This window comes from Homo sapiens, chromosome 6, assembly GCF_000001405.40.
Source record: "Homo sapiens chromosome 6, GRCh38.p14 Primary Assembly".
Classification (NCBI taxonomy): Eukaryota; Metazoa; Chordata; class Mammalia; order Primates; family Hominidae; genus Homo; species Homo sapiens.
The window spans coordinates 164,907,324-164,917,820 of record NC_000006.12 but is presented as its reverse complement, the minus strand read 5'-3'; the positions used below and the strand labels follow the sequence as shown (position 1 = coordinate 164,917,820).

Sequence of the window (10,497 nt, the reverse complement as noted above, 5' to 3'; positions counted from 1 at the left end):
AATAAAATGAAGAAAGGTTATGGGATGCATGGGACAGCATCAAAAGAGCAAATATTGGAGTTATAGAAGTTTTTGAAAGAGAAGAGAAAAACAAAGGAAAGCTTACTAAAGAAATAATAGCAGAAAACTCCCCAAATTTGGAGATACAAATATTCAGATACAAGAATGTCAAAGGTCTCTAATCAGATTCAGTCCAAGTAAGACTTACACCAAAATATGTTGTAATCAATCTGTCAGAAATCAAAAACAAAGAGAGGTTCCTAAAAGCAGCAAAAGAAAAGAAGCAAATAGCATATAATAGAGTTCTAATAAGGCCAGCAGAGAATTCATCAACAGAGACTTTATAAGCCAGGAGAGAGTGGGAAGATATACTCAACGGACTGAAGGAAAAAAAGCAATACAAAACTGTCAACCAAGAATACTGAACAAGACAAAGCTGTCTTGCAGTTGTCCTTCATATATTTAGTGTGAATGTTAAAAGACAAAACCATCAAAACCAATAAGAGTTATAATAATTTCTTAAGAAATAAAATTTAAAAATATAAATTGTGACATCAAAATTTTTAAATGTGGAGAGGGTGGAGTGAGAGTATATATTTAAGCAATCAAATATAACTTGTTATTTGCTTTAAATAGCCACATGTAACATTCTTGTTTAATTATTGCAACAACCCTGAGAGACCATTTTCTTTTCACTAATATTTCCGTTCCCAAAGATCTCTTCTGCTAGAACCTTCAGAATTATATGCTTTGTTTTTTTTGTGAAGTCCAGGGCCTCATGACGATTTAGCAACTTCCTGCACCCTGCTTACCCATATCCAAAGTCACAGGCTATCTGTGAGCTGGAGAAGAGGTCTTGGTGTGCTGGTGTGGCTCCTGGAAGCAGTAGGTGTGGCTCACACACACGTGCCTGGTGAGTGGGTGATTATCTGCCAAGAATGTTTTGACTTAAACCTGCCTTGGCATCATAATGCTTCCCTAGGAGGTCAAGAGTTAATGGCCCCACATTACGATTGCTGTTTTTCTTCTCCTGGCTTATGGTTAACACCTTTCTTTAGCCAGTGAACTGCTAAGTAGAGAAAGTGCAGTACTTCTGTTTGTCATCTTCAGACCAACTGGAGCCCCTGATGTGTGTGGAAATGGAAGAGGCTATTACTTGACACCTCCAAGATCCATTGATGACCTGTACTCCTGTTATCAGAGCCAACATGTCTTTCAGCTTTTGGCTAAAGGCATGAGATAACATGTGAAGATTTGCACAAGCAATATAATTTGCTTGCAGTTGTTCTTCTGAGCAGTAATTTTCCCAATCATATCTCCTTTCTGGGATTGAAAAATGAAATAGCTATGAACTGATGTGTCTGATGTCAGCAAAGAAAGTATAAAACTGGTAACTATTCTGCAGATATAAGAAAGAAATCACAGTAGCCCAATAAATTATGTGGTTCATTATTTGTTATTCATCACATAAAAAACACAAATGAAAAGACCTGACCTTTCCCGGGCAGCAGCACTGCTCTGACAATATAGTCAATAGTAACAGCTAATAGTGTGCAACTTAAGATCTGCCGTATAATGATGCATTTGTAAACACATTTTTTTTTTTTTTTTTTACAGAGCAATGTGAGTAGCAATCTACTGGCAGCAGGTATAAAAATAAAATATCTCCTTCCTGCTCGTTGTTATCCCCTCTCCTATAGTTAGAATTCATGGGAGATTCATCCAGGGACACATGAGGCCCAGGGTTGGAGGAGGCAGTGGAAAGAAGGTGGTTGCAGTAGAGATCCAGGCCCTCTGTGTTTTCTGTAACCAAGCCTTTTACCAACTAAAAGTCTATGCTTCCAAAAATATTATGTTGACTATTGGAGAGCAGTGTAGATGTTTGTGATGAAGGAGATGCAAAAAAAAATCTGTATATTAAAAGAAAGTGGCAGAGGTGACAATGATATGGTTAGAAATATAGTCTGTAATCAGATTCACTTTCAAATCTAAGATATTATATCTGTCTATTAAAACTGCTTGCTACTTACCCTGCTTTTCAGTAGTTATTTGCTGACCCCTTTGTCAATATCCATATACGCATGAAAATAGTCTCATAAAAAATAAAATACCTATTTTTGTCATTTTAGAGGTGTGAATTTTATAGGCTCGCTCATTTCTCCACGGATATAAGCTGGCAGTCCCTATTCCGATACCTGCACATCTGGTACTTCACCAGGAAACCTGCCAAAACCATCAGAAATGCTTAATACAGGGTTTAGGCCAACTGTGTGCTATCAATTCAGAGAGCAAAAACGGAAAAATGAAAGGAAAGGAATGGTGCTAAATTGCATCAGACATTTAATTACCCTTCCTCTGCACATCCACATTCGTGCATGCAGATACACACACACACACACACACACACGCTACTCACTAGAAGCTTCAAAATTAAATAACATCATAGCTTCCTTTTTTGCTCCTCAGCTCCGTAGTCTCCCACGCCCACACACACACAGCCATGGTCCAGACACTTGCAGGCCCTGTGCCAGTGCTGCAGAGAAAGATGGCTCTGCCCTGGACCCCTCACAGAAAGAATCACAGTCTAGTGGGAGAAACAGAGCAGAAAAAAAAAAAAAGTAACATAGCTCCTTGAATAGACATCTCCAGAGATAAAAGTAGAAGCAGAAGTGAGGATCTATGCAATTTTGCCTCTAGAATGAGAAAGAGCATTATTGAGAAGGCATCTGTTGAGCAGTCTCATCTACATTGTCAATGTAGATGCAATACTGGGGCTTGGAACAGCTGGAACAGCAGCTGGGGCAGACGAGGGGACCGTGAATTTTGCCTGCTCTAAGGCTTACACTGGGCATGGGAACCCTGTAATGGGTGAGAGAGGAGCCAAGGCCATAAGCCATGTCACAGTGGCTTTTCCTGCCCCAAAGAAGAGCTTGATTTCTAGTCCACAGTGGAGACAGCTCCCAGCTTTCTTGACTTTTTGACTCTTGGGAATCGCCTCCAGTTACTCACAGTGATGACTTGATTGATCGCACATGTGTTATTGGCTACCTTCCTTCCCTGTCTCTCTTTTCCACCTCTGATTTCTCCAACATAAAGTACTTATACCTAATTTTTTTTCTTAGTATTAACTTTGGGGAACATAATCTGTAACAGTAAAGAAGGCTGTGAGAGTGCTTCTGTGAATAATGTTCAAGAGAAAGAATCGTCGGACCATAGTTGATGTTTGGATTCATAGAGTAAGGGAGAGGGAAAGGACTAAGATGAACTCTAGGCTTCTGATTAGAATAACTTGGTGAATGTCATTACCATATGGAACGAAGGACAAAGAGCAAAGTTGAAAAGGAAATGAGGCATATAAATTTGGAACATGTGGAATTTCAGGAGCTCTGGAAGCAATCAGAATTGATATTAATAGGCATCTAGGACCAAGGCTTAGAGGGAATTCTGAACTAAAGAGAGATATTTGTGAGTCATTAATCTGAAGTTGAAGTCATGGAAGAAGAAGAGGCTTCAAGGTGAAAGAGGAGAAAGCGCCTGAAGAGATAACCATGAGTTATTCCAATATTTAAGGGGGAGAAAGAAGACAGTCATGCAAATTAGAAGGAGAACAAGTGCCAGTAACATCAACTAACTGGGGCATAATTATGCATAGTAAAGAGAGGACGTCAAGAGGTAAGGAGAAGACCAGTTTATAATATATGCTTGGTGGTCAGCTAAGACAAGAAAGAAAGAATCTGGGGCCTGCGGTGGACAAAGGAGGATTTTGATAGGGTGATCTTATTGGAGTGAATGGGCAGAAGTGAAGATTAAGCCAAAGATGCAGAAACAGAGGCAGGGTTTATGCAGCATTCAGATGTTTAACGACCCCTAGGGCTGAATGCAGAAAATCTGTATAGATGGATGTTGGCAGTGGTCTGATGCAGGCTCTTCAGACCAGACTGGGCCAGGGGTGTCCTTTCCAGCGGCTGGATCATGATGCAATCCAGTTTTGGAGGAGGAGAGTCATAGTGAAGGGGACTAGGGGAGCTTGGGGTGGCCGCTCTTTACCAACAGAATCACACCAAGTTGTACTTGCTCACTACCAGTCGTGCGTGCCCTTGCACTCTACATGCAAACCTTACATATACAGGTTAAAAACAATCTCCACCATGCAGTTGCGGAAAGGCCCCAGTGCGGTCAGCTGTTCCATTGTGGGGTATGGCTGCTGGTGCAGCACGTGCTGACAGGAGGTGGGGGTGGAAGGCATGCGGGGTCAGGGCAGGGATGCTGTGGGGTCTACTGAGAAGGAATATTTTTTAAAAAGGGAAAGGAAGTCTAGGATGCATAATTACATTTGGAAGAGAGATGATGATTAAAATTAGTTAAGTGCTGATGTGAAATCAGACACTTTGGAATCAGGGTATCTATGTACTATGCACTGTGTATGATCGACCAAGGGGGACTTAGAGAGAATTGGCACTCTAATCCCTCCTTGGTTGATATCTGAGGGACTTGTTCTGCTCTTTTTCAGGGAATACAGGAGATATTTAATACCGTTCCCTCTCCTGACCCATGCCTTTCATTGCAGAGAAATGTACGGACCCAAACTTGTGGCCAGTTGTCTACTTTTCTGGCTAAATCTAATTCTCCTTGATGAAGTGAGTGAACAAAGTCTCCTCAGTTCATCACTGTTGGCAAGGCTCCTGGAGTAACGGGGGAAGGATCAGCCCCTAGGTGTGCAAATTCAGAGGTGTGCTATAGTGTGCCATAGTGTCCATGTGTGTGATGCTGAGCAGCTTCCCAGGTGCGCTTCGTTGTATATGCTCCCAGATATTCTATGGTGTTCAGGTTTTCAGGTGTACAGGGGCTCAATTGTGCATGTTTCCAGGTATGCTATGGTGTGCAGTTTCCCAGTGGTGTAAGTTCCCAGGTGTGCTAGGGTATACAGGCTCCCAGGTGTGCTATGGCTTTTGGTTCCTAGGTCTTCAGATTCCAAAGTGATCAGCTTCCCAGGTAGGCTATGTTGTGCTGATTGCAAAGCCTATTATAGTGTGCATGCTCCCAGGTGTGCATAGTCCCAGGTGTGCTATGTTAAACATAATCCCAGGTGTACTATACTGTGTGGGCCAGGTGTGCTCTATCCTGCAGAATCACAGATGTGTTCTTTTGTGCAGGTGCGTAGATATTCAAGTTTCCAGTGTGGTCTGGTTTTTCTGTTCAACTCAGGTAGAGTCTTGGCTGGCAATTCAACTCTCAGGAAGCATAATGAGTACAGACCTGTTTGTCTATCCCCAAAGTTCACAGGTACATATTAAGGATAATGGAGATTCACACAAAATGTTTACGTGCTCAAATTGTGGGGAGTCACTTTAAAATTCACTTGTCCTTTGGGGAAATGGATTGAGCAGCTGCCACACTCTTTTCCAAGAGAGGAGGCTTTGTGCCCTTATATAGAAGCACTGGCATTTTTCCAGCTCATGGCCACATTTAGCAACAATATTAATTTCAGCTTCTCACAGTTGCAGCTGTGAACAACTAAAAAAGGTCATTTTTCTATACTTGAAATATAGAACACATATTAATTTTCCAGTAGATTAACCTAATGATCAAAACTGGAAAAGAAAAGAAAATACTTTTTTGGGACAAGGGAAGGAAGACAGCCATTTCTTTACCTTGAATCCGCCTATTTGACACAGTTTTTTTTTTTTTTCCTGCAGAAGTCCTGTAGTCCGTAGCTGACGGCTACATTCAGATCGTGTACAACCCTGTGATCTGATTCAGAATAAGCTTCTGAGGGCCTGCCCATGGTGGTCAGGGGAGGAGCTGCAGAGTACACTTTTATTATGCAGAGAGAGACACGGGCTTCAAAAGAGGAGATTTTAGGCAGTAAATTCCCAAAGGTGTTGCTACCACTAATTGTCACTTTTGCCTTGAAATCTCTGGAGTTCTTCTTCTTTTCTTTTTAAATTAGAATACCAAGATCTGGGCAACTTGAATTACTTGACACACTTTTGCTGACCACTCTCACTTCAGTAACTCCCTCCTTTGATTTTCTAGGATTCTCACAACATAAACACTTCTACCAATTGCCATTTTGAGAATGGTATTTAAATGATGATAAAGTTGTGTAAGCATTTTGATCAAATCCACAGCCAAATATTCTTTTTTAATTCAACTGAATCATCTAGTCACTTCATAATCTCGTTGCTCCATTGGGGAATTCAACCAAAGGGTTGAAAATACTTGAGTACCTACATTATCTTAGCTACTGCAGATAAAATAAACAACGATAAAGGAATACAAGAAGTGACAGAGTAGAGTGTGTACACAAAGTCAGTGTTATGAATAAGATCCCTGATCATGATATTGAAAGCGAAAGAAAAAAAAAAAAAAAAAAGCAGGGGTTTTGAAAACCAGGAGCTAGTCATGTGAAGGAGGATAGTATCTTACTCTCCTTTAAAAACTCTTTCTTGCCATACAATCTCTTTGAGATACTTCTGTCTTCTTTTATTCACTTCCTTTTGACCTACAGCATGACTGGCACATGGCTGAGATCATGATAAGTTAGCTCTGACCATGAGACGATGCAAGTAAATGCCAGTATTCTGCCTGCAGAAAATGGAATTCAGTTTATCTGATTTCTTATGAAGATTAGAGAGAATAGAAGGGAAAGACTTTGTACCAAAACCCCAAATTATGGGTAATCATGGAATTATTTATATGCACCCTCCTTTGGGTACAGACATTTTCTGTGTTGTTCTTCATTTTGACTTTCTAAAAATACTTCCTGCATTTTCTCTCTTCTATCTTCCCCCAAATGCTGGCTTTACATTAGAAAACTGTTTTCCTCAATAATATTGCCACATTTATTACTATAATCTACATAATGTCTAACTTTTTGTAACTCAGATGTGCATATTCTCTTACATTTGCAACTATTTTCCACAGAGAAAATGAGGTTCAAGCATTGAAGCTCCATTCTTTAAGACTTCAGGCATGCCTGCATTTGCATATGAACTTCCCTTATATCTACTTTGTTTGTTTATTTGTCAGTTTTGATAAAAAAAAAAAAGTCCTGCTGGGATTTTAATCAAAATTGCATTAATCCTATTGATCATTTTGGGGGAGAATTGACATCTTAGCTTTATTGAGTCATCCAAACCACGTACGTGAAATATTTTATTTAGGCCTTAAATTTCTTTCAGCAATGTTTTGTAGTTTTCAGTGTTTGGACTTCTTGTATTTTTGTCAAATTCATTGCTTAACATTTTTTAATGCTATTGTACATGGAATTTTATTTATTTCAATTGCCATTGGTTTATTGCAAGTACAGTTGTTTCTTGGTATATGCAAAAGATTGGTTCCAGGTTACTCCCCAAAACCAAAATCCATGTCCACTGAGGTCCTACAGTCAGCCCTGTGAAGCTGCGTATACAAAAAGTCTGCCTTTCACATGGTAGGTTTCCCTTCCTGTGAATACTGTGTTCCAGATCCAAGTTTAATTGAAAAAAAATCTGCTATATACATGGACCTGCACAGTCTAAATCCATGTTGCCCAAGGGTCAACTGCCTATAGAAATACAAAATAGTTTTGTAGAATTTTCTACCCTGCAACTTGGTAAACTCACTTATTAGATCTAGTATTATACCTTCTTTTACAGTCTATCAGATTTCTTTTGCGGATGATGTTGTAATCTACAATGTAAGATAGTTTTTTTTCTTCTTAGGAGGATGACCTTTATTTCTATTTCTTGGCTGATTGCACTGGCTATGATCTCAGTATAACGCTAAGTAGTGGTTGAGAGAGAAAACATTCTTGTCTAATTCTGATCTTAGGGAAAATCATTCATTCTTTCACCATTAACTGTAATATCACTTTCAAATTTTGTAAATGACCTTTATCAGGTTGAGGAAGTTTTACCATATTCTTCTTTTTCTACTTTGCTGAGAGCACTTTCCACAAATGGATGTTGGATTTTTGTCAGATACTTTTATGCACTTATTGAGATGATCATGTTTATTTTTTTAATTTTTTTAATATATTGAATTACATTGATAGACTTCTGAATAGTAAACCAACCATTTATTGCTATAGTGAACCACATTTTCCCATAATGTATTTTCTTTTTATGTATGTTTGGACCAATTAGCTAAATTTTGTTAAGGATTTTAGCATTTATGTTTATGGGGGATATCAGACTATTCTTTTCTTATCTGGTAATGCCTGTTTTTCTGGTTTTGGTATCAGGTTTCTGGTTTCTGGCCCTACCAAAGGGATTGGAAAGAATTTCCTCCACTTTAATATTTTTGAATAGTTCAAATAGAATATATTCTGCTATTAGGTACATAAATATTTAGGATTGTGATATCTTTTTCAGTAATTTACTTTCTTATGGTTATAAACATATCTGACGTATTTCTGGTAATGTACTTTAATTTGAAATCCTTGTTTGGTATTAATATAGTCTATCAGATCTCTTTTTGACTAGGGTTAGCATGATTATATCTTCTCCCATGCTTTTCCTTTTAACCATTTTTCTTTATTTTTAAAGTACATTTCTTGTAGGCAACACATAGTTTGGTCTTGCTTTTTAAATCCAGTTTGGCAATCCTTTTTAATTGAAATATTTAGACCATTTATATTTCAATGTGACTATTGATATATGCAATTATATCATCATATTTCTTTTTAATCTATCCTGTTTGTTCTTCGTTACCATTTTCTCCTTTTTTCTTTCTTTTGGAGTAATAGAGCATGGTTTATAATTCCACAGTATCCCCTTTATTGGCTTATTTTAATATTTGCAGCATGTCTGAAAATGTCTTGGTTTTTCATTTTGTTTTTAAAGATTTTTTTCTACATATGGAGTTCTAGGTTGACAGGCTTTTTTCTTTCAGTACTTTAAAGATGTCGCTCCATTCTCTTCTCACTTGCATTGTTTCCAATGAGAATCTCCTATTATCTTTAACTTTGTTCCTCTCTACACAATGTGTATTTTTTTCTCTGTCTGCTTTTAGTATTTTCCCTGTTCATTTTGGTCATTTTAAATGATTTCTTTCTCAGCATCAGATACTTTTTGTCATATAAATGCACTGATTGATACTCTGCTAAAAACTTGAGAGGGACCCTCTGCAACGATCAGGATCTCTCTCTCTCAGTCTCTATCTTAGTCTCTCTCTCTCTCTCTAGGTCTCTCATCTCCAATATGCAGTCCTGTGATTTCTAGACAGCTTGGTCCCCCCAAAGCTTTTACTCTGGCACCTCAAATCACAGAACCACAAAATTTCACCTAATTTCCTCTTCTCTGTGCTGTTCCCTGAAAACTTTTGAAGGCAAAAAACTGTGGTGGTTATTGGGCTCACCTCAGTTGTTTCCAATATACTAGGGATCACTGTCTTTAATGGCATGATGTCCAGTCTCTCGAAGGTAATTGTTTCATGTATTTTGTCTATTTGTTTGTTTAGCTTGTTTCAGGCAGAGGGTAAAATCTAGTCTTGTTGAGTCCATCTTGGCCTGACATAAAGGTGCCATTATAGTTAAATCTTAAAATTCACTTAGAATGTGAAATATCTTAATGCATTTAGCAATTATGGAAGATTGTGTATTCCTTCAATTCGTTTTTCTTTTGATCAATACACATTGATTCTGACAATTGATACAGTTATTGGACATGCACTTCCCTTGGAATCCTCTAGTTTCAATCAAATCGATAGTTATTGGTAAAGAAAGAAATATTCATTATCCCTCTGAATTTACCTAGGACCATAGAATATATTTATTGGAACTAAAAAGAAGTGCAGAATTGTTAAATGAAAGACACTTTCACTTAACTGTTGGTTAAGGTCCAGAAAAATATATGTTCTAGTTGTCTATTGGGGCATAATAAGTGCTTCCATAACAGAGTAGCTTTAAAAAGCAACAATCATTTTATTATTAACTCTCATGATTTTGGACCACAGCTAGACTCTAAAAGATGGTTCTTGCTTGGTGTCTCTCTTGCAGTGGCTGGGCTGAGGTCACTTTGAGTTTCACTCACATGTCTGCAGGTCGGTACTGGGCGTCACCTGGCAGTTCAGTGTGCCATCTGTAAGAACACCTATGCATAAATGCTCCATGTAGCCTCTCTGCTTCTCATCTCATGGTGAATGGCTTCCAAGAACAAGTGTATCAAGTGGATCTGGCAGAGAATGTCCATTGCCTAGCCTCGAAAATCACATAGTGTCACTTTCACAGTAGCCACAATCCCACTCAGGGTGCACTTGATGGTAAGGGTGTCCAAGTCACAGTATAGGAAGGAATTAATAGGAGACCCTTTGAGGTCTTCATGGAAAATATAACCTGCCACTGTGACCTTTAATGAGATCCTTGACTATTATAATATGTCATAATAAGTGTACTGCCATGAGCAAGAGTGTCCAAAAAATATCTAAAGGCTCATTCTGGGTTTTCTGGGCAATGAACTAACTAGAACTGAGAGTTCCTCCTTCCTGTAGTGGTAGGAGAGTGATGGCATTTTC

At 38.5% G+C, this 10,497-nt stretch overlaps 3 annotated features.

Annotated features, from left to right (window-relative positions):
* Window positions 822-991: an enhancer, noted in NCBI's record as "experimental_91215 CRE fragment used in MPRA reporter constructs". NCBI's record gives its function as "activates a minimal promoter by MPRAs in K562 erythroleukemia cells, with activity observed for the non-introgressed 6:165330404 or rs77999093 variant allele {active_cell/tissue: K562}" and the evidence as "EXISTENCE:reporter gene assay evidence [ECO:0000049][PMID:34662402]".
* Window position 906: a transcriptional cis regulatory region, noted in NCBI's record as "Neanderthal adaptively introgressed variant 6:165330404 (GRCh37/hg19 assembly coordinates) or rs77999093 in the experimental_91215 CRE". NCBI's record gives its function as "modulates activity of the experimental_91215 enhancer by MPRAs in K562 erythroleukemia cells {active_cell/tissue: K562}" and the evidence as "EXISTENCE:reporter gene assay evidence [ECO:0000049][PMID:34662402]".
* Window positions 4,008-4,177: an enhancer, noted in NCBI's record as "experimental_91213 CRE fragment used in MPRA reporter constructs". NCBI's record gives its function as "activates a minimal promoter by MPRAs in K562 erythroleukemia cells, with activity observed for the non-introgressed 6:165327218 variant allele {active_cell/tissue: K562}" and the evidence as "EXISTENCE:reporter gene assay evidence [ECO:0000049][PMID:34662402]".